This window comes from Homo sapiens, chromosome 14 (genome assembly GCF_000001405.40).
Source record: "Homo sapiens chromosome 14, GRCh38.p14 Primary Assembly".
Taxonomy (NCBI): domain Eukaryota; kingdom Metazoa; phylum Chordata; class Mammalia; order Primates; family Hominidae; genus Homo; species Homo sapiens.
Window position 1 is genome coordinate 100,713,661 of NC_000014.9, and position 26,525 is coordinate 100,740,185.

General features: G+C 56.1%; 1 protein-coding gene across 2 annotated transcripts, besides 5 other annotated features; it reads left to right on the plus strand.

The window, feature by feature from the left end:
* Window positions 144-655: an enhancer, noted in NCBI's record as "H3K27ac-H3K4me1 hESC enhancer chr14:101180141-101180652 (GRCh37/hg19 assembly coordinates)". NCBI's record gives its function as "activates a minimal SCP1, AML or CMV promoter by ChIP-STARR-seq in naive H9 embryonic stem cells {active_cell/tissue: H9 hESC(naive)}" and the evidence as "EXISTENCE:reporter gene assay evidence [ECO:0000049][PMID:30033119]".
* Window positions 656-1,167: an enhancer, noted in NCBI's record as "H3K27ac-H3K4me1 hESC enhancer chr14:101180653-101181164 (GRCh37/hg19 assembly coordinates)". NCBI's record gives its function as "activates a minimal SCP1, AML or CMV promoter by ChIP-STARR-seq in naive H9 embryonic stem cells {active_cell/tissue: H9 hESC(naive)}" and the evidence as "EXISTENCE:reporter gene assay evidence [ECO:0000049][PMID:30033119]".
* Window positions 2,746-3,679: an enhancer, noted in NCBI's record as "H3K4me1 hESC enhancer chr14:101182743-101183676 (GRCh37/hg19 assembly coordinates)". NCBI's record gives its function as "activates a minimal SCP1, AML or CMV promoter by ChIP-STARR-seq in naive H9 embryonic stem cells {active_cell/tissue: H9 hESC(naive)}" and the evidence as "EXISTENCE:reporter gene assay evidence [ECO:0000049][PMID:30033119]".
* Window positions 3,680-4,611: an enhancer, noted in NCBI's record as "H3K4me1 hESC enhancer chr14:101183677-101184608 (GRCh37/hg19 assembly coordinates)". NCBI's record gives its function as "activates a minimal SCP1, AML or CMV promoter by ChIP-STARR-seq in naive H9 embryonic stem cells {active_cell/tissue: H9 hESC(naive)}" and the evidence as "EXISTENCE:reporter gene assay evidence [ECO:0000049][PMID:30033119]".
* On the plus strand, window positions 13,232-24,564 carry DLK1 (delta like non-canonical Notch ligand 1). Of its 2 annotated transcripts, NM_001317172.2 has the most exons (6): window positions 13,232-13,475; window positions 14,736-14,799; window positions 15,276-15,406; window positions 18,382-18,523; window positions 20,489-20,768; window positions 20,988-24,564. In NM_001317172.2, exons 1-6 carry the CDS (start codon window positions 13,409-13,411, stop codon window positions 21,234-21,236), a joined length of 933 nt encoding a protein of 310 aa, NP_001304101.2. In that variant the 5' UTR covers window positions 13,232-13,408; the 3' UTR covers window positions 21,237-24,564. The 2 variants fall into 2 exon arrangements, with proteins under 2 accessions (NP_001304101.2, NP_003827.4); NM_003836.7 differs by having other exon boundaries at window positions 20,489-24,564.
* Window positions 20,208-20,975: an enhancer, noted in NCBI's record as "H3K4me1 hESC enhancer chr14:101200205-101200972 (GRCh37/hg19 assembly coordinates)". NCBI's record gives its function as "activates a minimal SCP1, AML or CMV promoter by ChIP-STARR-seq in primed H9 embryonic stem cells {active_cell/tissue: H9 hESC(primed)}" and the evidence as "EXISTENCE:reporter gene assay evidence [ECO:0000049][PMID:30033119]".

Below are 26,525 nucleotides of genomic sequence, written 5' to 3' on the forward strand. Positions count from 1 at the left end.
GATCATGGAGTAAAGACAGCACTGATGGGGAGACGGAGGGAGATGCAGAGGGAGAGCCTGCTGACCCCTCCCAGGGCCCCGGATGAATGGCCGCAGTGCCCTCGGTACAGGAGCAGGAGAGAGAGAAAGTGGAGCTGGGCATGTGGAAGCAGGAGAGAGAGGACGGAGCAAGGGACAGGTGGAGATCCAGGCTGAGCAGCTGTCCCTGGGGGTGGGCAGGAAAGGACCCTGGCCTGCTCCCAGGCACCACAAGGAGCACAGTGCTGCACATCTGTGAGGGGGACTTCCTGGAGGAGGTGGCAGGGTCTGGGATGGGGCCAGGCTCCGGGGAGGTGCGTGTGGGGTCCCTGCTGCAGCTCCTCCATGCTGCATCATGGATTCCCTCGTTTCCAGGTCTGGATGCGTTGCTGCGCTTGGCTTGCAGCGTGGAGCCTGCTAGTGACCCCCGGGGGAAGGGCCCTCCCTCGGGATGGAGCCGGCTTCCCTCTGCAACCACAGAGTGGTGTTTTAATTAGTCAAGTCTTCAAATCATTGTTTACTGCTCTCCACTCATGAAGGGTTTATTAAAAGCTGGGCCAAGTTAAAAATACTGGCAACAGGGACATGCAGGCCATCGGAGCCGCCGAAACAGGCGCCCTGAACCACGAGGAAGCCGTGGTGGCTCCTCCCCAGGGAATCCCTGCCCACGTCCTGTCGGTGGCCCAGCTGGCAGACAACCCGTCAGCCATGTGGAGGGAGACAGGGTGGCCCCTTGCAGCTGTGCCAGCACTGCTCAGCCTGTGCCGAGCACCAGCGCGTGACCAGGTCTCACACCCCTGGGTATTGAAAAGGCCTGGCAGGGTGGAGGTGGGGCCCCTCCTCACTCCACTCCACCCCTCCAGGAGCTTCCAGTCCCTGGGAAGCGTGTGTGGTTAGCCACACCCAATCACCCAGCCACCAGCCTCAGAAGCCCTTGGGGCCTGACAGCAGCAAGGATCGTGGTGGACGGCTCTGCCTGGCAGGGGTGTTCAGGGAAGCCCTCCAGGAGGAGGTGGCACTCGGCATGGGGTGGGCTCGCCATTGGTGGACAGGGGAGATGGCATTTCAGGTGAGTCACAGAAAGGTCGCCTAGGCCTTGGAGGCAGGGAGGTGCCGTCCTTGTCCTTCATGCTACCGTTGTGAGGAGGGTGGTGGAGTCGGGGAGCCCTGTGGGAGGAGCCTTCGGTACCCTGCCTGGAAATGCGCCCTGCAGACCTGCTGTGCCCGGATCTCCAAGAAGACTCTAGAGTCAACAGGTCCATAGGGAAGGGTGGGCCACAGAGCCCACAGCCACCAGCTGCCACTGCCTTTCTCAGAAGGAGCCAGGGGGAGGGCTGCTGTGACTCTTGTGGGGGCCCTCAATGTTTGAACAGTGGCAAAAACTGAACTGCGACAAGCATTAGGGCTTCCAAAGATCAGCTATCATGCACAGCTCTGGGTAAGAGTCCTTTGCTGGGCCTCAGTTTACCCATATGTACAACAATGAGAGAGACAGCTTTCCTACAGCACCACTTCCATCCATCCATCATATACTGACTCAACAAACACTCCCTGGACCCTTACTGCATGGCTGGGGCACAGAGGGGAACCCGACATAAGCTGGGGCCTTCGGAGTCTTCCTTCCACCCTGCACAGCGCAGAGTGTCTCCCTGGCCACTAAGGGCAGAGCCTGATGAATTTGGGGTTCTGAGGAGTAAATAAAATCAATGTGAAATCACTTTGAAAGTTTAAAGGCACAATTAAGGCCTGTGCTCCTCCTGTGAGGACAGTGGTGTCGTCCTACGGCCTGGGCTGCTCAGAGCCTTTCTCTTTGCTGACGTGCAGGAAGGGGAAGCAGAGTCACAGAGCACCTGCTGTGTCCCAGACGGCTGCAGGCCACCTCACCCACACGGGCGCAGCTAACTCAATTTTATGCATACAGATTAGTGGAGGTGTCGGTTCAAATCCTCGTCTCCCTAGCAGACCAGGAACCACAGAGGATGGAGACTGTGTTCTCCTCATTCAATTAATCAATTATGCTCTCGCTCAGCATCTGCAGCCTCTCAGGCTGTAAACACCCTAGAGTTGCTCCTATATTTAAATGAAGACACACGCACATGCTCACACTCACACACTCACACTCATACACACTGTCACACACACTCATATACACAGACACACTCACCCATATACACACAATCATACACACACACACACACACACACTCTCTCTCTCTCTCTCTCTCACTTTTGCATCCTGAAGCCCTTTGCTAGTGAACGACCCCTCTCCCTGTTGCCTCCAACCCAGGCCCCCTGCTCACTCCCTGGCCTGTCACTCTGCCTGTGACTCCTCCTCCCACTTGCCCTGGGGACATCCCGCTAAGGCCCCAGTGACTAATCTCAATCTTTATCTTAACTGATGTCCCTGTGGGCATTTTGGACCCATGGCCACTCCCTCACTCTTTCTTTCTTGGAGTCTGGGATTCCTCTCTGTTTCTATAAAGACAAGAGTTTTCAGAGTGTTTATGGGCATTGAGGAAGGAGCCAGTGCAGTGACGGGCTGGAAATGCAGGACCAAGAGAGGACAATGGGGCAGTTGACCGAGAGGAGATCCCCCAACCTCTGCACCCACCTGTCTCTGGGCAGCTTCTTCTGTCTCCCTTGTGCATTCTTCTTCTGTTTGCTTTGTGCATTCTTCTTTCCCAGTCCCATTGCCGTTGCATTGCAGGGTTTCATTCCCTCAGTCTCTCGACTCACCATCTTCCTGGTCACCCTTCCATCACCACCATCGTGGTCTCACCCTAAATCATGGTCTTCTGACTGCAGACTGTCCCCCAGTCTTTCTCCCACCTGGTCCAGGGCTACCCCACCCACTAAGGCCATTACAGCAACAAGCCTATGTCTCTGCCCCATCCCAGCAGCCAGGTGTTGGGCACAGGTAAGAAGTCAGAGTCAAGGAAGATTAAGTGGGGAAACTGAGGCCCAGAGATGGGAAAGGCTTTGCCCAAAATTACCCAGGACTTTACCCAAATCCTGACATGGGGCCTATAGTGGTTCTTCTGCCCACTTTTAGCTCTTGCAGATGTCACCCCCCACTGAGTGTGGATCTCTGTTGTCTAGTGGCTGAGGTGCTACCCACCTTCATGGTCCAGTAAGGTTCCTCTCATCACAGGAGGCCGTGTGGCTGTGGCCACACCTGGCACTCAGCAGCCCTGGCTCCTGGCAGGCCTGCCTGAGGGAGGCCCTGGAGGAGAAAGGAGCCCCCACCCCAGACTGGCAGCCTCCTGGCTGAGCAGTTCACCAGCACAGCTAACTCTGGCTGCCCACCCAGTGTGAATGTCATTAAGCCAACCGTTGCCGAGGGGGGAGTTGGAACCTCTTCCACGGCCCGGCACTGCCTCAAACTGCCATACACACGAGAGCAGCGAGGGTCAGGAGCCTGAGGCCTGGGCTCAAATCCCAGCTCTGCCATGGAAAGGCTTCTCTAGCTTCAGTTTCCCCTACTGAGAAGGAGGCCACTGGATTCAGTGAAGCTCTGGGTTGCTCATGTGCTTTTCCTCGGGTCCCTTGCAGAACCACCCTCTGTCTTCCACCCCTGTCTGTGCATGGGGTGGCCTGCCTAGATGGTCTGTATCAGCTGGCTACAGCCAGGTGGGGCCACAGGATCCCCAACAGATCAGGGGAGGGAGGAGAGCAAGGTCAGGTTCCCTGCACAGAGACTGGGGGCTCCCCAACCAAAGGCCACACTCATCCACCCTCTCCACCTGACTCCCGCGGTTTCTGGTTCAGGTAATTCCACTCTTCTCTCTAGCTGCAGGCCTATGGGGTAACGGGGCCTGCTGTTACCCCTCCGGCTTCCTTACACCCTGCCCACATCTCTGTAAGTAGGCCCTTTATTCAACGTTCTTCAAATTAACCATCTTGTGTGCACCATCTGTTTCCTGCGGGGACCCTGTCTGAATCACATAGGCCTCACCGTTCCTGGTCTCCTTGTTAACTCAAGCTGTCAAGGGGGGAGAGGAGAGGCTGGGTGCAGCTCCCCAGGAGCGGTCCATGACGAACTGTGGAAACCATTCCTGCCCAGGGCAGCGGCAAGGCCTCGGGCAAGCCTAACGGGCTGCAGCTACAAGCCCCAGATCCAGACAACAGCTGGCCTGAGCACCCCTCTGCAGGTCTCCCAGCCCTTCCCCATCCTGCCAGTGTCACCAGCGTCCTTGTCAGGACCAGGAGCAGATACTGAACACATACGAAGCAACTAGGACCGGGCAGGAGTGTCCCGTCCAGGCTCTCAGCTCCCCTGCATAGCTCCTCCAGGCCAGGTGGTCGTCCCACAGGGAAAGAAGCCGAGAGTTTGAACCATTTCCCCAAACCCACCTGCCACCCACCTACTCCCCCCCTTCACCCGCCCTTACTCCTTCTCTTGCTACCCTGCCTTGCACAGAAAAAAATACTGAATATACTGAAAATACTTCTCTAGTGAGTAGAACTCCCCCCACCCAAAGAAACCATGGTGAAGACGTGCTAGCTGGGTTTCCACCGTGGCATGTGTGGATCACTGGGGACCTTGTTGCTGGCCACAGACAGCTAAGGCTGTTGCCCAGCACTCATGGAGAGAGGGAAGAATTAGGTAAAACACAATCAGAGATAATTGGCTCATCCGAGAGAGGCAGGAAAAAGCCACTGAAAGGGAGCAGGGTCTAAAGGCTGAGGGCAAATCTTTGCAAGGAAGAGCGTCTCCCCAGGCTTTAAGGGACCATTTCCCATCTCCATGTCCCTATCCCGGCCAAATGCTTCCTTATCGATTCCTTGATAGGACGGTGCAATTCAATCCCATGAATACTTAATGAGAACCTACTGTGCACCTAATTCTGAGCTTGGAGCCCAGGGAGAGCTGAAGTGAATTTGAGGAGGCACCCTTCCCTGCTCTTCCTTCCTCTCCCCTCCCCTTCCTTCCTTCTTTCCTGCCCCCTTTCTCTCTCTTTTCCTTCTGCGAAGGGTTTAAGTAGCAGGTTGCTCGGGATAGTGGTGCGTCTAGAAAACCTCCCTCTGACCCCTGGCCTGTAGCCGAGAGGATGGGGGTGACAGGCAGGCCCAGGGTTGATACAGCCATTAGGGAGAGAGGCTTGGACCAGGGTGGCGGTGAAAAGAATGGGGCTATGGAGATGGACTGGAGAGCGACTGGGGAGTGACAGTGCCTGGAGCTTGGGGCCCATTTGCACAGAGAAAGGGCAAAGCTATAGGAGCCAGGAGTCTAAGCCCTCACTCGCTGGGCCAACTGCAGGGTGGCGGAGGCCCTGGAGGAGGTTTGAGGGGGACAAATGGGAGATGCTCGTTTCAGAGAGACCTCCAGAGGGGACACCTGGGAGGCTGTGGGGCTCTAACCCCGGCCCCAGCTCTGGAGCGATGAAGGTAGAGAGAGCTGGACCTTAGTGTGCACATCTGCAGGCAGACTGGCAGACCAGCATCCGGTGCAGGGAGAAGGAAGGAAGGAGAAAATGAAGGTGGGGAGAGGACGTGACCAGCCCAGGAGACAGTCCTGCTGTTTCCCCAAATTCTCTGAAGCAGTGAAGTGACAGCCCCTGCTGGGCTCCAACTGGACCTCTATTCTTGTGACGCGGTTTCTTCTGTTTTCAGTCTGTGGGCTTTTTGGCCAGACCTTGGAGAGACCCATTTAAATGAAGGAATCTGAGGGTTCCTCAAAGGACATTTTATGGTCAACTTTTATAGTCCTCCCGCCTGGGCACCACTCCCCAACATTCTAGTCTTGCTCTGCCAATTCCTTGCTCTGTGACCCATGGAGAATTGCTCAGCCTCTCTGCGCTCCAGCATCCAGCTCTCTGGCTGAGAGGAGAGCCCCCACTGCTAGAGGGGGAGGAGAAACACACACACCTGGGCAGGGATCAAACTAAGGCTCATTACAAACAGAGCAAACTTGAATTTGGGTACTAAGCAACCCCGGGTGGGGTGAGGAGGTGAGGGGGTGAGGGGAATGGGGTTCCACTCACACTGGGCATCCCCTGCGCTCCGTCCCTAGCTGGATCCTGGCTGCAGACAGCCAGCTTGGGCCTCTGGAGGTGCAGTGTTGCCATAGGAACAGGCTCATGGAGAGCGTCTCAGAGGAACCAGGTGCTTGCGGGTGGTGGGCAGGGGCAGGTGGCAGCAGGGGGTGCTGGAGATGGTCCCGACACAGCTACTCCCCACATTCCTAGTGAAGGAACTGAGGGCTCTGGTGGGGAAAGAACCAGGTGGAGGCATCGCTGCAACCCTGAGGGCTCTCCTGTTTGCAAGTCCAAGGGGGTCAGTAACCCCCTGGAACCCAGAGATCAGAGGTGGCAAGAGGACGGGTGGTTGGGGAGGGCCACCAGGCCGTGGACAGTTGCTAGGACACAGGATCTTTCCGAGGGGCCCATGGTAACCTTCAGAGAACACTTTGTGCCTCATTCATTTATTCATTAATTCACTTAATCCATAAACACCTCGAGGGCAGCGCCGCAGGCCTCTGGCTGCGGGGTGCCTGGCTGAGCAAGAAGCATCTGGCCTTGCTGGGGTCAGACACACGTGCAAAATCCATTAACACCAGGCAGGAAGACGTGTTCAGGGCTGAGATGATGCCCAGGGTGGCTGGGAGGGCCAGGACCCTCGGTGGGCGGGTGAGTGGGTGGGAGCCAGGGGACTTGGCAGGCATGGGATTGGGGGAAAGGCCTTGGAGGAGGAGGTGAGACAGGAACAAACCTCTGTCCCTCTCACCTCCCACCTGTGCCTGCCCCCTCCTTGGGGACTGGGCAATGTCTTCCTTCGCAGGAAATCCCTAGCGCCTGGAACACAGTAGGATACCAAAATCTTTTTTTTAAAAAATATAATTGAATGAAAATGCTAATGCTTCCTTACAAATAAGAGAATAAATATAGTACGGGAACATCTTAAATTCCTCGAGAGCTGTGTGTTTTCACGTCCCTAAACTTGACAGAGCTGCCTGCGAACAGGTGTGGAGGGCTGTGCCGCGCCGCTCATCCTCCCTTTCACAGGCTCAGCGCGCAGTGAGGTTATGATTCCGCCACAGTGACCCCACAGACTCTTAAGCAGGGGCTGGGATGAGGGCTCTCCCCAGGGGATCCAGGCTTGAGAAAAGGATTTCTTCTGTGGCTAAAGGAAGTATCCTCTTTATACGTCATCACAGGGTGTGTTGCCTGTGCCTCTGAAGGTCTCCACGAGCTGGGCCCTACTGGGGAGGTAGGTGGTGGGGGCTGGTGCCTCACTGGATGGGAAGGGTCGGGTGGCCCAGCCTGATTCCCAAGACTTAGCATCAAGTCTGGGCATGACATGTGCGAAGGTTGACTCTGGTATGACAAAAGAGGGCTTCTTGTTCCGTGGACTGTTTGCCAGGGCAAAGGAGGCTGCAGAATGTTGGAGAATAGTTAAGAGATTTATGTCCGAAATGTTGAAAGTTTTGCAACATTCTGCCTCATTCTTCACCATGCTAACTTTGCCCTCACTAACAGAACAGCCAACACTTCCTCGCCATCTCATGTGCATGCATACACACACTCATGTCTCGTTCACACATCTGTGCCTGTACAGCTCTCTCTGCCTGGAAGGGCCTCCCCATACCCTCCTGGAGAACTTCTGTGTACTCTGCACACACAGCTGAGGACTAACCCTCTGAGAGATGCATGATCGCCCTTCCCATGTGTGGCCAGTCCCAGTATCCACAACCCTGCATCTCAGAGGGTGTCTAAGCACTGGGTCCGCACTTGAACTCTCTGAGATGAGAAACCACCTTCAAATCCATCATTGCACCCTCCTTCCAGGGACCCCGCCGAGCCTCGGCACCCAGTAGGAGCTCAGTCAATACCAGGCAGATGAAAGGCTACATTTAAAGAGGTGAGCCTCTGTTTTATGGAAAATTAACTTCTGGGAATTTTTGATGAATGAATTCCTGCATTTTTGGCCAAAGCCTGCGTGGACAAGCTGAGTGATGAAAAGGCCCCTTTTTCCTCCGGCCCCTGATTTCCTCCCTCCTGAGTGGGAGTGAGTCTATCTACAAGCTCTGGGGTGGGGTGGGGAGTTGTTATTAACCCCTCCAAGCCCCTGGGAGCACCCCACGCACAGCATGACTCAGTGGTGCTCTGTAAGAGGATCATGTGATTGATGATGTGGACAATTACATTGTGGACTTACATCCCTGTTGATTCCAATGGCAAGGAAGGAAACGAGAAGTCTGTTTTTAAATCCTATCAGCAATGACGAGAAACTGGTTCTGTCTGGGGGAGAGGTGAGACCCCACAGAAGCCAACTCTAAATATAGACCCAAACCAATGAGTCCCCTCTGCACCCCAGCTCTCTGGTATTTTTCCTTCCCAGAAGCTTGCTGTGGGGCCTGGGGGAGTGATACGCAGGCCTGTTTTGGGGACTCGGGGATACGGGCTGGCTCTGCGCCCCCACCCACAGCACCCTGCCGCCCTGGAGAACCCTGGAGTGGGCCTGGAACTGTCATACGCCTCTTCAGGCGCCAAGCACAAGGCCAGGCTCAGCATGTGTCCCTCTGCAGCCGTACTCCCAGCTCGGCTGAGCACGATGCCACTTCACACTGAAGACCTTTTCTCTGATTAAACTTGAAACCAAACCTTCATGTTCTGGAAAATGTATCAGGTTATGTCTTTCATTTCCCTCCACCCTCTGCCCCCAGGTCCCCTCTCCTCGGTAGAAGAAAAGAGAATTTGTCTCCAAAGATGAGCTTCAGGTTTGGAAAAATACTCCGAGAGGTGGCAGCTGCGTGTCTCCTTGGTGTTTGCATGAAACCCTCACAGCCTCCCAGGTTGTGAAGCTTCCCCCTCCCACCCAAGGAGGGGAGGGCAGGCTTCTGGGGGAGCCCACTTTCCTCCAGGCTCCATGCACTCTAACCACCCCGCTGGGCTGGGCAGAGAGCCTTGCACTGGGATTTTGAGTAGACCCGGGTTCAAATTCCAGCTCTGCCACTGGTTAGCCATGCACCTCTCTTGGGGTCCCCCAGCCTCAGTGTGCTCAGCCACTGCCCAGTGGACTCTGGGCAGTCCCCACCTAGCCCAGGCCGTGAGGAGGCTCTGATGAGACAGGGTTAAATTAGAGTCTAAATCCGAGGGAGAAGTGAGGGAGATGCAGAAAGGGCAATGCCTGCTTGCCTGTAAGCCCTCAACACAGGGATGGTGGCTTCTTGGCGGGGGAGCCTCCTGCCCAGCTGTCTCCTGGATGTTCCGGTTCTAGGACTCTAACTAGGCCACCTGAGTCTCTGGGCACTGGTCCTCGCCTTGGTCAGTCCCTTGGGGAGGAAGAGCAGGCAGATCTGGGGGAGCCCACCCTCCTTCTCTCTTGGAGGGAGGATGGAGAACGTTGGGTGTGGGGACAGGGGACAAAGGCATCTCTTGTCTGTAGGATGCCCACTAGGACTGGATCAGTGGGGGCTCAGATCCCCCCACCCCGGCAAAAAAAAAAAACAAAAAAAACCAAAAAAAAAACCTAGTCTAGGCAGAAGCAAAGCCTCAAGGCATGGAGATCCCCACCGAGGCTGTGGGGGTGGTGAGCAGAGCAGAATGTGAAGGTGGGGTGAAGCCCCCTCGCCGGCCACCCCTGCTCTTGCCCTCCCATCCCCGCTGGTGCCCGGGACTAGTAAGTCTCAGAGGCCCCTCTAGCTCCACCCAGCTGAGCTGCCCTGATCAGTGTTTCTGCCTTTAATCAGGGGCGAAGTGGTCTGGGGCTGGCTGGAGGAAGAGTTAGTGTTTAGAAAAGGAGGAGGGGGAGCAGACAGGAGGGGAGAGCAGAGGAGCGGGGAGGAAAAAGGGCTGGAGACAACACTTCTTTCCTTCCCTCGGAAAACTTTTGCTCATCACCAGCTCCTCTGCTGCCCCGGCAAAGCCCAGCAACACTGCCTCCGGACAGGTTCCCCTTGCTTTCGGCTCTTGCCTGCGGGGTGCGGGGCCATAGGCAGAGCCTTCGGCTTGGCTACAGGGAGGGAGTCCAGCTCATGCATCTCGATCTGGCCCCAGAGTTGGCAGGTCCAGTCCCTGCAACCTGTGTAGATCGCCTGCCACGCCATGCTATGAGGACCTGCGGGCTGCTGGCCTCATCTCTGTAATCCCGGGGGCCTGTACACGGAGCATGGCTCTCGAGAGAAGGGGAGGGGGGAGGAGGGGAGGGATGCGCAGATAGAGGAGGGGGCGTCCAGCTCCTCCAGCCTGCCGTTCCACAGCCCCCAGGATCTGCTTGCAAATGGCAGACTGTACCGCTTCTCCCCAAGGGACTACATTGGCATTTTCGCGCCTTCTGTGCAGACTTAAAGTCTGTGACAGTCACCAACCTCCCCTCCCTACCGCTCCTAAGCTACCCTTTCTCAGTGTCTGCTTGCTGAAAAGAAAGCTCCGGCCTCCTGAATTTACAAACGCTTTATTAAGATTAGAGCAAGCCAACAGAAATCTTCCTGGCTTGTAGGTCCTGTGAGACAAGAAAGTCCCCTCCCATCCCTCAAGTGTCCCTGCATGGGGCTCTTGAAGAGGGCCCGGGTCCAGTGGAGCCTGGGTGCCCGCCTTGGAGATCCTCTAGCTGGCGGGGGCAAGGGCTCTGGGGTGCAGCTGTTGGAGGAATGGCTGGAAGGGGTTGTGACCAGGCCCTGTCAGCACAGTGCTTTTCTGCTTACAAAAACCGGAGTTCCTTTCAGAGACAGGTGGGACATTCCTGTTTATGGGCTAAGAAACAGGGCTCACAGATGGAAGAGACTGGGCCCTTGGTGGGCACGAAATGGAGATAGGATTAGAGAGCAGGTGCCCCCCAAGCCAAGGCAGTGCCCTTTCAGCGTAAGCCTGTGACATTTTGACAGACTCCCTTGGGCGAGAATACCCTCCTCTGGCCTCCCTCCCTTTCCTAAACTGGGGAGGGCTGTGGTGGGGCTGGGGGCGGGGGTGGGAAGGGGGAAGAACCTGGATGGGGAAGGGAGGAGTCTAGGTATGTGTGTGGGTGGGGACACTGGGGCCCCCTAAGTGCTCCATGCAGTCCAGGGAGTCTCCTCTCTGCGGGACTTTGGCAAGAGCCTGGGAGGCCCTTGCCCCAGGGCTACCCAGCCCTGAGATCCTCCACCCCTCCTTGGCTTCTGGCTGAGAACTCAGCTCTTCCAGGTCTGCCTGCTGTTGGGATAATTTTGGAGGCTGAAGTCAGGGGCCTCGAAGGGAGGGAAGAGAGGAACCCTGGTCAGGAAGACCTTGGCGATCACCATGCAGTGGACATTGGCACCCAGGGTTGGGCCTGTCAGCCAGACACTCTCGTTCTAGGCCAAGGGCCTTGGGCAAAGGACCTTCCATCACTGAAGTTGGTTTCTTGACTTGAGGAAAGAGTCCACGGAAGAAAGTAGGGTCACAGGAATGCAAGGGCATGTGGCAGGCACACAGTGGGCACCCCAACTGCTCCCTACAGCCTGTCCCCAAAGCCGTTCCCAGCAGCCCCTACCTATCTGGGCATTCTGCAGATAACATCAGGGAAGGGATATCTTCCACCAGGGGCTGGGAGTTTCCCTCCAGCCTCCTTGGAGCCAGCCCAGAGCAGCTCTGGTCTCTGTCCATCCCTGTACCCATCCCGAGTGCCTTACTGGAGCACTGACTTAGGGGTGGTGGGCCTGGGGATGCCCATGGGCCTGCCTTCCCACATCTATGGCTAAGATGGGAAATCTGTGCTCAGACCTGCCAGGGCTGGACTAGAGGGCCAGGAGGTCAAAGCATCCAGCCTCCAGGTTCACAGTGGTGAGATCACACCCCCCTGCAGCACTGTGAAGAAGGGGAGGCCGCGAGCTGGGTGGGCACCCACTCCCTGCATCTAGGATATGTATGCAAATTAATATATGCAAATTAAGTATCCTAAACGACCCACCCAAAGATTGGGACGCCTGGGACCCTTCCCCCAGGAGGTGAAATATCTTTAATCCCCTCCTACCCCTCTCCCTCCCTATCTTTCTGAGCCTCCCCCATCCAGACTGGGTGCAGGGGTGCAGAGCTTTCCTCTCCAGCAGGGCTCTAAGCCTAAGCCGGGGGCAATGGGGAGGAGGGGTGTCTGAGGAGCACTCCCTCTCCCTGGGAGCTCTGCAGAGGAAGAGGGTCTCTGGCAATCAGCATCCTCTACCTCCACCTCTCCAGCGGGCGACCCCTCAGAGAAGGTCTCCCAGTGAGTCTGGAATACGTGCCGAGTGCCTGGAGTGCTATTGTGTGTATGTGAGAGCACATTGGTGAGGCTGCCCATGCATGCCACTGTGGACAAAGACAGATGCGATCGTGTGTGTGTGGGGACTGCGTATATGTTTTTGTCAGTGTGTGTGACCACGAGTCAGCTGGGTATGTGTGCTTGTGGGTATCAGGTGCATGGCTGTGCGTACATGTGTGCGTAAGAGTCGGTGCATTTGTGTTTCAGCGCGGCTAAGGCCCTGACTGAGATGCTGTGTGTGCGGGGGTGGGTGTGACTGAATGCGGGCACGGGTGTCCGTCTGTTTATACGTGTGTTTGCGTGTTTGGGTGTGCAGGTGGCTCTGCGTAAGCGTCTGTGTGCAGGGGGTCGGCACATGGGGGAGGATGCCCATGGTTGGGTAACCGCAGGTCCGCTTGACCCTCTGCCACCTAGGACTGTGTCTATACGGCGTCTGGGCTACAGTGTGTTTGAGTTGCCGTGTGCGTTTCCGTTGCGGGGTGTGGGTTGCCACGGGGCAACTGCATTTTTCTGCGTCTTCATGGCCAGGGGTACAGGGGGCGTCGGGCTTTTCCTGGGGGTTTTTCTGTGTGCGTGTGTAATTATGTGCTTAGTTCACATCTTCATAGTGCGCCTTTGTGTTTTCCTGGGTATCTAACCATTGCACGTGTGCCCGGGACTTCAGCGATAAGTGTTTCGGTGTTCCTGCGTGCGGATTTGTGCTCTCCGGGGAGGTCTGCGGCCCAGGTTCGATTCCTGCGACTTGTCCTAGGCAGGCCTGTATGTGCGCGGCGGCCGCGTGCTGTACAGTGTGAGGGAACGTGTACCAAACGCTCGCGGGATACCTGTGCCCGTCTAGCCAAGAGTGCACCCGTGTGCGCGAGCGGGCTTCTGGGACGCCGCCGTGGTCGGGGGCGGCCCTGCGAGGGGAGGGGGTCACAGGGACTGGCCGGCGCCGGCCCCGTGCGCACGGAGGCGGGGGCGGGGGGCGGGGGCCGCGAGGGGGGAGGCGGTACGAAAAGGGCGGCGCGCGCGGCGGCGGCGGCAGCTCCCCGGCAGCGGCGGTGGAGAGCGCAGCGCGCAGCCCGGTGCAGCCCTGGCTTTCCCCTCGCTGCGCGCCCGCGCCCCCTTTCGCGTCCGCAACCAGAAGCCCAGTGCGGCGCCAGGAGCCGGACCCGCGCCCGCACCGCTCCCGGGACCGCGACCCCGGCCGCCCAGAGATGACCGCGACCGAAGCCCTCCTGCGCGTCCTCTTGCTCCTGCTGGCTTTCGGCCACAGCACCTATGGTGAGTTCCCCGGCGGCCCGGCTCGCGCCCCCTCTGGGGAAGCCTGCGACTCCCCGCCGGCCGCCCGGTGCCCCGCACGCCCCGTCTCGTGAGCCCCAACTCCGCCCGTCCCGCCTAGCCCTAAGCCCCGCGCTGTGCCTGTCTCGCCCTACCCACCACGCTCGCATGCCAAGGCCCGTCCCAGGGGTCCCAGGGCGCAGGGGATGTGTGAGACCCCCAGCCCCTTCCCGCCCTGCAGAAGTGGCGCCAGAGGGGTGTCGGTGCGCTGAGCAAGGAGGTATGGAAAAATGGGGTGCTGTTGTGGAGTCTTCTATGAAAATACTCTGGGGTGCAACTTTGGGGTGTCCCTGTGTGAGCGTTCTGGAACAGGTCTCGGGGCGGGAGTGGGGGACGACTTTGCCGTCTTAGCCCCCAATTCCCAGAGAAGCCCAGCCTGAGCCCTTCCTGCGTGGCGCGTTTCTGTAGGTGAGGGGCTGCGACACTTCTGTCTGCAGCGGCCATCTGTCTCTGACAGCGAGAGAGTTGCCCCCTTCCTGCAGCGCCCCCCCACTCATTGCACCAGTGGTTGTAAGGGGGCTGTCTAGAAAGCTGGGGAGCTGGTTGAGTAAATGCACACAGTAGGTGCCTGTTAAAGTGTCAGAATCTCTAAGCAGTGTTGTTGCAACCTCAGCCCGCTAAGCAAAACCCTGTGTCGTCATCGTTTTTTTAATGCGAAGAGTCTGGGGTAGGGGAAAGAGGGAAGATTTGACCTGGGTGCCCGGCTTAATAGGGATGAACCTTAAAAAGAATGCAGACGCCTTACTGGGGCGCCCACCAGGTGAACCTGTCTGGGCTTTCCCGGAGTTGAACACCTCAAAATCTGCTCCTCTTTTCAGCTCAGGTTGCAAAAGTGACGGTCAGGCTGCATGCCCAGGGCTCAACATATTTCCCTCCACGGTCCCCGTCCCCGCTGTTAGGAGGACTTGAGGTGTCGTATTTGCTTTTGGGAGTCCGAGGAGAAGGTGTTTCTCCTGCTCCTAAGAACGAGGGAGAGTGTACTGTGGTCATTTCATTGCTGGGAACGTGGCAGAGATGTTTTTCCTGAGTGCACTGAGCCCCATCCATGCTCGGATAGGAAGTGCCTACTGTGTGCCAGGCTGGTAGGACCCAAGAGGGCTGTTGGTGCCCTCGAGGGCAGTGGTGGGCTGTGTGGGCGAAGACAGCCTTTGCCTTGGCCTGGGGCCTGGTGGGGTGAATTGTATAACCTTTCTTGTACCTCAGGGGCTGAATGCTTCCCGGCCTGCAACCCCCAAAATGGATTCTGCGAGGATGACAATGTTTGCAGGTAATAGAGTGGCTCCTCAGAGGCAGCTTGTAGGGGCCACGCAGAAGCCTGGGGAGTCGTGAAGTCAGGCAGAAAAAAATAGGGGGCTTGGCCACTACGCTGCAGCAAACAGCTTCCGGGCCCCTGCAGAAAACTGGTGGGGCGAGCTGGGGAGATGGGGGGGGCGGGGGGGGGGCAGCCACAGCTCCTGTCTGCGTTCTCAGAGGTGGGGGGGCAGGTGGGACCACTGCAGGCCACTGCGGCAAAACGCAGCACTCCCCCGGGATCTCGGGGCCCCTCCAAGTCGGCCCCCTCAGCTTGGCATGTTTTCTCTTTAAGTTTTCCCATTCAGGTGGCTGGTGTTTACTTCCCAGGACCACCGGCTGCCACTGTGCAAAGACCCCCAAGGGTCCTTGGTTCCACAGAAAGTAGCCTGAGCTGCCTCTCTACCCCTGCCCTCTTCATATGTCCCCACCTTTCTCCCCCACCCATTGCAGGTGCCAGCCTGGCTGGCAGGGTCCCCTTTGTGACCAGTGCGTGACCTCTCCCGGCTGCCTTCACGGACTCTGTGGAGAACCCGGGCAGTGCATTTGCACCGACGGCTGGGACGGGGAGCTCTGTGATAGAGGTTGGCACTCGCCTTTGTTCACCTCAGCTCTGCGTCCTTACCTGCCTGCCCTAGCCCCTACCACCTCCTCCCAGTCTCCTGTTGCTGGTGTTCCTCACTTCCTCATTCCTGCACACTCCGTGCCCTGTATTCTAAAGATCTGTTTATAAATTTCCTGTGGGTACCGAATGCCTCCTCAGAGGTAGGGACTTTATTTTGCTCTTCTCTGCGCCATCAGCACCCAGCACCTAGAGGGAACATGGCGTGGGGGCCAGGGAGCTGCCTGTTGAATAAAGAGTCACAAAATACACATACAGCTGGGCCGGTGGGACCACAGACCCCAGGCTGCCTGTCCAGGTCATGGAAGCCCAGTGATGGACAGGGCTCTGGGGATCTCAGAGCTAAGACTCCCTAGAAAAGCACACGCAAGACTGTAAAGAGGCTGCAAACAAACAAACGGGGTGGGGGGTGGCCAGCACTGCTCAGTGGTTGAGGGGCAGGTGCTGAGTCAGGGCCAGGAGGACAGGGCTGGGGGGCCTGGACTGAGTGGGTCAGGTGTAGGGGGAGGCTGCAGTTGGGAAAAGCTGAGAAAGGGTTAAAGTGAAGATGGGTGTTATCTGTTGATTTCATTAATTTATGCAATCTTTGCCTCCATTACCCCAAGCAATTGAGAGTTGGCTGTCACTGCATTTTCAGGCTGCGAAATGTTCGTCTAAGCCCATTTTCATTTGGCAAAACCAGCCCTAACGTTTGAGCAAACTGAAGTCCACAAAAAAACTCCCAGCTGTGTAGCAGCCTGCCCTCAGGGCCCCTGTCCCTCAGTCCCCAACATTAGTAAAGACGGTACAGATAGGGAAACTGAGGATCAGAGAAGCACAAGTGTCTGCTAAGGAATATGAAAGAAGTTGGGCAAAAAGCCAGCTACAACCCTTTCCCCCAGCCCCAGAAAGAGAGTTAATTTTTATCTTCGATTGCATCTAACATCCTTCCTTAAGGAACACCTAAGAGCATTTTGTTGTGGCCCCTGCCCTGTACAGCCAGGGCAGCCGTGGTTCTGAAGCTGAGCTCCCTCCCACCCCAAATTGTCTCTGGTCCTTAATTCCAGCCCCTGCAATATGGTGCAAGGTTTACCCGCAGCTGACTCATGCTCTGGCCAGCATCTCTGCTGCCCCTCACAGAAGCAGCGGCAGCAGCTCTGAGTCGTTTGAGGATCTGGGGGATTCCAGCAAAGCCACCATTTGGGATCAGGGTTAGGCTTTTAGCTTGGAGCCCATCTTTTTGGTATCTAAATGCCGTACACCCTTGCTGAAATTTTCCGGACAAATGCCTCCCTTCTCATGGGCCCTTGGTATGTCCCCTCCCCACCAAGTTGACAAAGGCAGCCAGCTTGGGGATGGCCAGAGAGTCTGGGGTCCCAGAGAAGACATAGCCCTCCCTCTCCCTTTTTGCCCATCTTTGAGGCTGTCGTGGCCACAGCTGCTGTCCCAGCAGAGACCCCCAAGCAGCCTTTTCCTCAGAGCAGCTTAATTCACCCCTGTCTTGGGGTTGGAGGCTCAGGAGGGCTGATCCAGGATTGGCATAGCAGGGAGAGCTGCAGGGACAAGCTGGGGGTGGTCGCCAGCTTTTTAGCTTAAATTTAAGATTCTGAGTGACAGGAGAGTCGGGTGCAGAGAATAAGGAGCCTGACGCGGAGGCGCCACGTGCTAATGCCTTGCCGGTGCCGTCCCGTAAAGATAAATCCTCTTTATGTGTCCTTGCACCAAGCCGGGCTTCCATGGAACACCACGGGGTAGTCCATCAACACAACGTTCAGGCTCTTCCTCCTTGATTGATTGCAGTCTCCCCTCCACGAGGGTGTGGGTCTCTCTGAGAGGGGGAAAAAATACGCACATGTGTGGCCTCAGCACGGGGGATTTCCCCTCCCCCCACCCCCTCCAGCCTGCCTTAGCTTGCTGTGTCTCTCACTGGCCCTGGCTTTCTGTTTGGCAGGTACAGCAGCTCAAATTATAGAAAATCAAAGCTGAAGAGTCCCTCAGAGATTGGCCAGGGAAAGACCCTCTTTTTATAAGTAGGGAAACTGAGGCCCAGAATGGGTAGGAGCTGAACTCTGCTGCCACATGGCAGCAGGCCGGATACAGGGCAGGACAGGGGTCCCTTCCTGGCCCCACTGGGGAGCTGGGGTCTCCATCATCAGAGAGCCCCTGACTCAGGCCCTTGTGTTCAGCTCATCCCTGGCTTGCTGAACCTGAATAATGAAGTGTGCGTGATGGAAGGTGTTAAAAGATGGTGGGAATATACCAGTGCTCATGGAAACCTGTGCTGATAGGAGAGCGCTCAATAGTTCTAATTTCCCTGGCTTTAAAAGATGAAGCCTTTTTACCAGGGACCCCTTGAGTTCAGAGCCTGAGTGCAGAAAGAGAGACCACAGGGACACGTGGTAGTGCTGGGGTTAACAGGTTTCTTGATTCCTGACGGAGGGGGGTCGTTACATCTCCATCCCCCCCACTGCCCCTCTTTGATGGAAAAGTATGAAGAGCTGGTGGTTTTTCTGAGGGTTGGGCTGTATTCATCCCCCGGCTGGCCAGGACCCCTCCCCTAACAGGAGAGGGTGGAGATGCAGTCTTGTCTGGTGGAGACAGGCCTTAGGGAATCTCAGCTAGGCACGCTGTTGCAGGGAGGGGCATGATGTCCACAGTGAACGTCACGGACATGTCGCTGGATATGGGGTGACCTGGTGCCAGGCAAAGGGAACAGCTATCCTGGCCTGAATATCAGTGGCCACGACTTTCTGATCTGTGACCTTAGGCAAGGAAACCCCTTCAGCTTCCTGAGCCTCAGCTTACTCACTTCATGGGTTTTTTTGAGGGGGCTCCCTAAACCCTCTTACTCCAGACCCCACTCGGTGGCCATAGAGCCATTTTAAAGCCCACTGGGGCCCGCATCACGCTCGTGTATGGAGAGGAAGCTAAGTTCTCGTCTTCCCCGTCACCCCGCAGATGTTCGGGCCTGCTCCTCGGCCCCCTGTGCCAACAACAGGACCTGCGTGAGCCTGGACGATGGCCTCTATGAATGCTCCTGTGCCCCCGGGTACTCGGGAAAGGACTGCCAGAAAAAGGACGGGCCCTGTGTGATCAACGGGTAAATATCCTTCCTGTGTGTGATCTAATGAATGCTGCTTTTCATGCGGCCACCAAAGACCCTTTCAGCCTAACCCTGCTGGACCTGTCGTCTGACAAAAGATGAAGTAAGCGCTCATCCTGGCAGCCCCGTAGGGGACCGCCCTGGATGGGAGTATTCACGGGGGAATGTGTCATTGCCATAATTTTTTCAAATGATCCTGAAGGCGATTTCATATTCCCCTGATGTTCTCAAGTCCCGATGCGTGTGAGTGACAGTCGATCGGAATGATGAACTGACACTCGGAGCTGCGTAATTTTCTAAAGGCAACGTAGTAAAAGATTGGAGCTCCGCGGGGCTGAGGCTGTTTGTGAAACCCACTTGCTGTATCTCAGGGGGTGGTTTTGGGGAACTGGTGGGCTCTGCAATTGGATTTTCTGGGATGTCTGTGGAGGGAGTTGCCAGGCTGAGAGGTGAAGAGATTGGGCTTCTGCCAGCACGAGAGGAGGTGGGCCAGCTGTCGGCTATCCTCAGTGGGGAAGGGGGCTTTGGGACTCCTGGGCAGCGGACATAACAGACAGAGTGGCCACTGTCTTCACTTGGACCTCCCTGAACAATGCTTCCCAGCAGCTCAGCCTCTGCCCACCCATTATCTCTTTGGCGGCCCTGAGCCATCCCTCCCCGCTGGATGGGGCTTAGCCTGAAGCCAAGGGAGATCTTGACAGAGGCAGGGTCCGAATGTAAGAATCCAAACTTGAACCCAGTCCTGGGCCTGTAGTTGGGGGGCAGGGGTGTCCCTTTCCTCTGAAGAAACAGAAGCTAACATGCAAATAAGCTTATCTTGACCGGACATCGCAGGGTGGCACAGAGACCCCAGTAGTCTGTAAGAGCTGTAAACAGACATTAACGGGGCTTCCAAAGATCAGTCTTCAGACGGGGTCAGAGTGGGGGCTGGTGAAGACTGAACTCCATTTCTGCTTATTAGCAGGAAGGAGAAAAACAGAGCGAGACCTTTAAAATATTTTGCTTTTCTCGCGAATGGACTTAAACCAGTGTGTCAAAATAGAGCCTAAGGCCCTTGAAATTCCTTCAGAGCCCAGCTCCCATGCAGCCCACACCCTGAAGCAGCAGTGCTGATTTCTTGTGTTTACTGCCCCTTCTTCCCCGGAGTTTTGCCATTTATCGGATGACAAAGGGCTCGCTCGTTTAAAAGCACTTACATTAAATGCTCCTTGTACTCCACTTTGAGCAAACAGCTTTGGTTTGCAAGCTGCACTTGGGTGAATGGACCACTATTAAACAGCCTGGTACAGACGCTGGCTTGTGCCACCGTAGACAGACCTCGTATTGCTTTCTCTTTGAGAGTCCCCAAGCGCTTCCTGCACAATAGCCTGTGGATCCACACCGCTAATAATAATAATAATAATAATGAGGGTTGGCGGCAACAGTGGACATAGGCATGAAGGACGACAGCGGGTCCCGGGATAGAGTGAGGGGCGCCCCTTGCTTGGTTCTTCTGCCCCAGCAGTCCAGGGATGGAGCTAAGGGAAGGGGGCTTGCTCCAGTCCTGGGCTGTCACTGACTTTTCCTCTCCTAGCCTCAGTTTCCCCAGTTGGCTAGTGACTAACCGGTTGGAGACTAACCTCTGGTTGGAGAGGTGCAGTAAGAGGTGGGAGAGGACGTGGGCATCCTGGCATGGGAGGTCGGGTGTGTCCCAGGTTAGCATCGAGATGGGGGTGAGGTGGGCACCCACCCACCCACCCCCAGAGCTACTGGTGAGCTTCTCGCAGACAGGGGTCACGGCCCCGGGCACCTCTCTGTGCCTCCCTGGCTGGCGTTCCCTCCCTCGCTCCCTCATTCACCTGATGTGTTTTAAGCACCTGCCCCTTAGTCAGGCCAGGGACCTTCTGCCCTGAGCCCCGTGCCCTGCAGCGCTGTTGTAGCCTAGCCCCTGAGGCCGTTTACTATGTCCCTGTTGTGTTGCAGCTCCCCCTGCCAGCACGGAGGCACCTGCGTGGATGATGAGGGCCGGGCCTCCCATGCCTCCTGCCTGTGCCCCCCTGGCTTCTCAGGCAATTTCTGCGAGATCGTGGCCAACAGCTGCACCCCCAACCCATGCGAGAACGACGGCGTCTGCACTGACATTGGGGGCGACTTCCGCTGCCGGTGCCCAGCCGGCTTCATCGACAAGACCTGCAGCCGCCCGGTGACCAACTGCGCCAGCAGCCCGTGCCAGAACGGGGGCACCTGCCTGCAGCACACCCAGGTGAGCTACGAGTGTCTGTGCAAGCCCGAGTTCACAGGTCTCACCTGTGTCAAGAAGCGCGCGCTGAGCCCCCAGCAGGTCACCCGTCTGCCCAGCGGCTATGGGCTGGCCTACCGCCTGACCCCTGGGGTGCACGAGCTGCCGGTGCAGCAGCCGGAGCACCGCATCCTGAAGGTGTCCATGAAAGAGCTCAACAAGAAAACCCCTCTCCTCACCGAGGGCCAGGCCATCTGCTTCACCATCCTGGGCGTGCTCACCAGCCTGGTGGTGCTGGGCACTGTGGGTATCGTCTTCCTCAACAAGTGCGAGACCTGGGTGTCCAACCTGCGCTACAACCACATGCTGCGGAAGAAGAAGAACCTGCTGCTTCAGTACAACAGCGGGGAGGACCTGGCCGTCAACATCATCTTCCCCGAGAAGATCGACATGACCACCTTCAGCAAGGAGGCCGGCGACGAGGAGATCTAAGCAGCGTTCCCACAGCCCCCTCTAGATTCTTGGAGTTCCGCAGAGCTTACTATACGCGGTCTGTCCTAATCTTTGTGGTGTTCGCTATCTCTTGTGTCAAATCTGGTGAACGCTACGCTTACATATATTGTCTTTGTGCTGCTGTGTGACAAACGCAATGCAAAAACAATCCTCTTTCTCTCTCTTAATGCATGATACAGAATAATAATAAGAATTTCATCTTTAAATGAGTAAGAGAAATAAGTATGTTATTCTAAAATCTAAACTCAAATGAAATTTCAAAAAAGACCAAAAAAAAACAAGGCAACAGAACCAGGGCTCAGTGCCGACGCCCCTACCCTGGGGGTCTCGGCCACATGGTCCTCGTGAAACCGTTACGAGTGCTGTACATGACCACCCACTGTGCAAAGAGCTACGATTGCTTTCGTTCGTTAATTCTCACACACCACATCCGACTCGCACTCACATCCAGCTCAACATCGCTACCTTTAGATCTTTCCGATTGATTTGAGATTTAGCGGAGTGCAGCGGCTGTGTGTCAGTCAGAGAGAGCCCCAGGTTGGCTGCTGGGGGGCCGGGCCTCTGTGCCAGCCCTGCCACTAACTCGCTGTGTGATCCTTGGCGAGTCCCTATCCCAATCCTGGGCCCACTTTCTCGCCCCTCTCGAGGGAGGGGTTTGAACACCGACCACCATGGTCCTCTCTGGCTCTAAAACTCTGAATTAGGAACGAGGGGGTATGAACCAAAACACTTCCTGACCCCAACAATTGGGATCTGATGAAGACGAATTCTCATCCTGGGATCCGAAAGGTTTTGGCCTATCCTGGATGAACGCTTGATGTTGAAATTTATCCTAACTGTGTTTCTCAAAGTGGGGAGCCTCCTGGCCCACTTCCCTTTTGGGAAAAAATAGCCCCTTTGAGTCATAATGTGCCATCTGGAGTTGCCACTTAGGCAGCCAGCCCTCCCCCACCCCTCTTTGCCCACCCAGAACCCCAACACTATACCTGCCTCTACCCTATAGAGACATCCCTTGAGACTTGAATGTACTTTGAGCCGCAAGTGCCCCTGGCAGAATCTGAGCAGCAACACAGCCCTCACCAAGGTTTTCACAGGGATTAGTGGAAATTGTCACTTGTGGGGCGCTTACTAGTTTTGTGGCAAATGTGGTCCAAGACCTGGCCCACACAGCCATGGGTTTACATTTGTGTTGCTGAGTTAATAATCCTCAGATCTCAAAAGACCTAGCCAGCTTCTGAATTTTGAATTTGACTTTTTTTTTTTTTTTAACAAAGAGCATCTATCTTTTTTGCAAAAATAGAAAGAAATGGGACAGAGCTCTGTTTAGCTTTTCAGCTTTTGGGGTTGGACAGCTAAACAGCCCTTGGGTACCAGATAGGAATATTTTGCTTCTTAGATTATTTGGATAAGAATCTATACTCTTAGCTTTATTGAGCATTGCCTGCCGTGTTTACCTTGCTCCAGGTGTTTATTTCTAAGTCATCATCACCTTCGTCATCTACAGTCAGTCACATCAGTCACCCACACACAACTCACAGTCACCCATCCATTGGTCACCTGCGCCATCGTCATGACACAATATCGACCTCATCACCTCATCGTCCTCCAGCCACTACCCAAGCCCCCTCATCCTGACTCAAAGCCCGACCAGCATCTGCCCAAACTCCCAACACCCCACTCTCCCCACCAAGCCATTGGTCTCCTCACTCCCGGTCCTTTGTCATCCTGATTCCAAGCCCCGCCCCACCCTCACCGCCTCCTCCGCATCATCTGCACTCTGCAGAGCCCCTCCTACCCGCCTCTGTCCCCACCAGGCCCCTCCCTACCGTCAGCCCTGAGTCCCACAGCACGCGTCCCCAGCCCCTCCCAGCCTCACCCCAAAAACCCTGTCACCCCACCGACCACCATCATCACTGGCAAGCCCCTTCCCCTTCTCCAGCTCCCGTCCCCACTACCCCTCCCGTCCCCCAATCCTTCCCCTCCTGTTAGCCCACCCCTCCTTTCCTATCACCCCCACCTTTCCCTTCCCATTCTCCCCACCCTTCCCCTCCGATCCCACCACCCTTCCCTTCCGATCCCCGTCATCCTTCCCCTCTGATCCCCCACCCTTCCCCTCCTGTCCTCCCCAGCCCTCCCTTCCTATCACCCTCACCCTTCCCCTCCCGTTCTCCCCACCCTTCCCCTCCTGTCTCCACCAGCCCTCCCTTCCTATCACCCCCACCCTTCTCCTCCCTTCCCTCACCCCAAACCCCTGGGTCCTCCACCCCAATCTCTGACAACCGCCCCAAGTCCCTCTTCCTTCCCCACGAAGTCATTCATAAGTCACCATCTCATCTCATTTTGAGTTTGTTTTAAGAAATAAAAAAATTAAAAAGACAAAAAAAAGAATTGTTGGCATGTGTCAGGCGGGCGTCTGGTACCCTGCCTGGCCTCTCTCAGCGTGAGACCTGGACTGAGCCTGCTAACGATTCTGTTCCTCAGTTTCCCCAAATAGAAAATTCTAAGATTGGTCAGATGATCAAATTATCTATGTTTTCGATCTTGATGCTATAGAGAACAGCCATGTTCCCCTGATAACAAGAAAAAGACGTCCCACGGTCGAGGTATCCTTGACCAACTCCCCATCCATTCATTTGTTCACCGTCCACAACCCATCTGATCAGGAAGCATTTCCAGGCACCTGCGGAGCACTAGGCAGTGTGCGGAAGCTGCAGGGCAGGCAGGACGAGGGGGCAGTCTGGAGGGGGGTGGACACACAGCTGTCCCCAGGGAGCCCAGCGCGGTGCCGGTCACATGCCGTGGGAGTGGAGGGTCTTGAGCAGACGCCTCCCTTGGAGAAGAGCCACCATCTCACCTTCCCACGCAACAAATTATCTATTACCAGCACCCGATGAGGCCGTCCCTCCCAAATTCCACAGTGCCCACCACTCGCACTACCCCCCCCGTGCCACAGAAGCAGTGTCAGCAGCCTCGCCACGGTCTTCACGTCATGCAGAAATGGTCATTCCATGTTCTATGGCCACCAGATTCTGCTGAGAGTGTCGGGATCCTTGACTGCCCAGCCACACCTTGTGTGTGTCTGGTGTAGTGTGTAGTTTACGAAACAAACGGAAAAGCTCAAAGACAGCGATCCAAGACATGATCAGCAATTTGGTCCCAAATTAGGAGAGGAGGAAGAGGAGTATCAATTTTGTCACCAAAATGTTAAAAAAAATGTCCTTGGCGCTCTTTTTAGCTTTCCCGTTTACTACCAGTCCAGACATGCAAAAAAACCTTGTTTATTGAAAAATAAACAACAAGGGCTAGACTTGTGTCTGCGTCTTTGATTTTGCGTGTGCCAGGCTACACTGGTCCCCTCCCATAGGGGCCTCAGGCCCCGGGCAGGGTGGGCAGGGGTTCATGCTTTCCAGGGCCCTGCTTTGGCCTAACACCCAGCACCTCTCATGTGGCCAGGAGGCCGCAGGGCTAAGGGGTGAGCCCGCCCGGGCCTGTGCACACCCCTTCTAGACCACACTCTTGGAACCTGGGAGTCTCCTGTCCAGAGGGTCCTGAGAAGACCTCCAAGGCCCACATGGACCTTGTCCCTGTCTGTTTCCCAAGGTGGCTCATTGTGGGTGGCCTGGATGGAGCTGGGACATGAAGGTGACAGGTGCAGGGAGGGGGGTCCATGTGGGAGCATGAGAGTTACCGTGCTCAGGGCCAGTTCCCCCCATGCTCTGAGGTCCAGCAAAGAACTTGGGAGTCAAAGTCTCCCACGCTGGTGTGGGGCCTTCCGGGGCTTAGTGAAGGGGCAGTCGCCCAAGAGAGGGGCTAGGACACAGTCTATGTGCTACTTAGTGAGGGGGACTTGCAGCCTTTCAACACTTCCCATGGCAGGTGGACGGGCTTCCCTGGGCTCCTCAGGCAGGCCCTGCACATCCCTCCCAGGCCCAGCCCCGGCCACACGCAAGTGCGCTCAGCGCAGGATTCCAGTCCCAGAATGCCAGAGCCAGAGCGGCCAGCTGAACCCAGGACAGAGGAGCCCAGGTCTTATTCCTTGGCCCTGGTGGCCTGGGAGGCAGCCCTTGGTTTGGGTCCCCTCTCCCCTTCCGCAGGGCCCGTCCTTCCTCTCTCAGACTTTCCCTGGCCAGGCTGCTACCACCCCTTCCAGCTCTCCAACCTCAGGTCCTGGGATCCCCTGATACCCGCCTCCTCCCTTGGCCACCACAGCAGCCACGGTTCTGCCTCCTCCCCATCTCCTTCCACCCTCAGCCCTCACAGCTAGGGCTCAGGCCCACTCAGTCCCTCGGTGTCCCTCTGGTCTCCCCACCCAAGGTCCTCTCTGGCTCTAAAACCCTGAATTAGGAACCAGGAGGTATGACCCAAAACACTTCCTGACCCCAACAATTAGGACTGATGAAGACGAAGTGTCATCCCGGGATCCGAAAGGTTTGGCCTCTCCTGGATGAACACTGGACATTGAAATTCATCCTAACTGCATTTCTCAAAGTGGGGGGCTTCCTGGCCCACCTCCTGTTTCAGAAAAATCAGCCCATTTGAGTCATAATGTGCCATCTGGAGTTGCCACTTAGGCAGTCAGCCCCATAGCCCTCGATCTCACCCACCTACCCTCACCCACCCGGGGCCCCGACTCCACACCTGCCTGCTGCTCTCAATGCGGCAGAGCACACAAGACGGACAGGCAGGAGCTAAATGCCAGACACGGACGCTGTCCTGAAACCTCTAGGGAAATAACATGACCACACTGAAGGTTCCCAAGTTAATAAATGCAGAAACGTTGATGAAAGGGGCGAGTTTTCTAGGAAAATATTAATCCTCCAAATTCCTCAATGCAGCCAGCAGGAACAGAGTGATCCTCTGGGGGAAGACCCCATGGCAGGCAAGGCCGACCTGGTTTGGAGGCCACATTTGACCCTTCGAGGGAGGGGGAAGGCTCAGGCTAGAGGAACTGTTCCACAGAAGAGAAAAGGAAAAGATGAAGACTTTCCAATTCCATTTCCAGAGCTAGGAGAACCTCTAGGCTGAAACCTGACAAAGATCACAAAACTTGAAAAGAAAAGTCACTGTCCTCACCCCTGAACAGAGAAACAAAATTTCCAATGAAATAACAACACAGCAAAGCAGCCACATTTTTTGTTTGTTTGTTTGTGGGTTTTTTTTGTTTTGTTTTGTTTTGTTTGAGACAGAGTCTCACTTTGTCACCCAGGCTGCAGTGCAGTGGGGCGATATTGGCTCACTGCAAACTCCACCTCCCGGGTTCAAGCGATT

Excerpts from the sequence above, each read along its gene's own strand:
- DLK1 (NM_003836.7), top strand. The coding sequence starts at position 13,409 with ATGACCGCGACCGAAGCCCTCCTGCGCGTCCTCTTGCTCCTGCTGGCT. Across the intron at positions 14,800-15,275 it reads GAGGATGACAATGTTTGCAG|GTGCCAGCCTGGCTGGCAGG; the intron begins GTAATAGAGTGG and ends CACCCATTGCAG. Across the intron at positions 18,524-20,488 it reads GGGCCCTGTGTGATCAACGG|CTCCCCCTGCCAGCACGGAG; the intron begins GTAAATATCCTT and ends GTTGTGTTGCAG.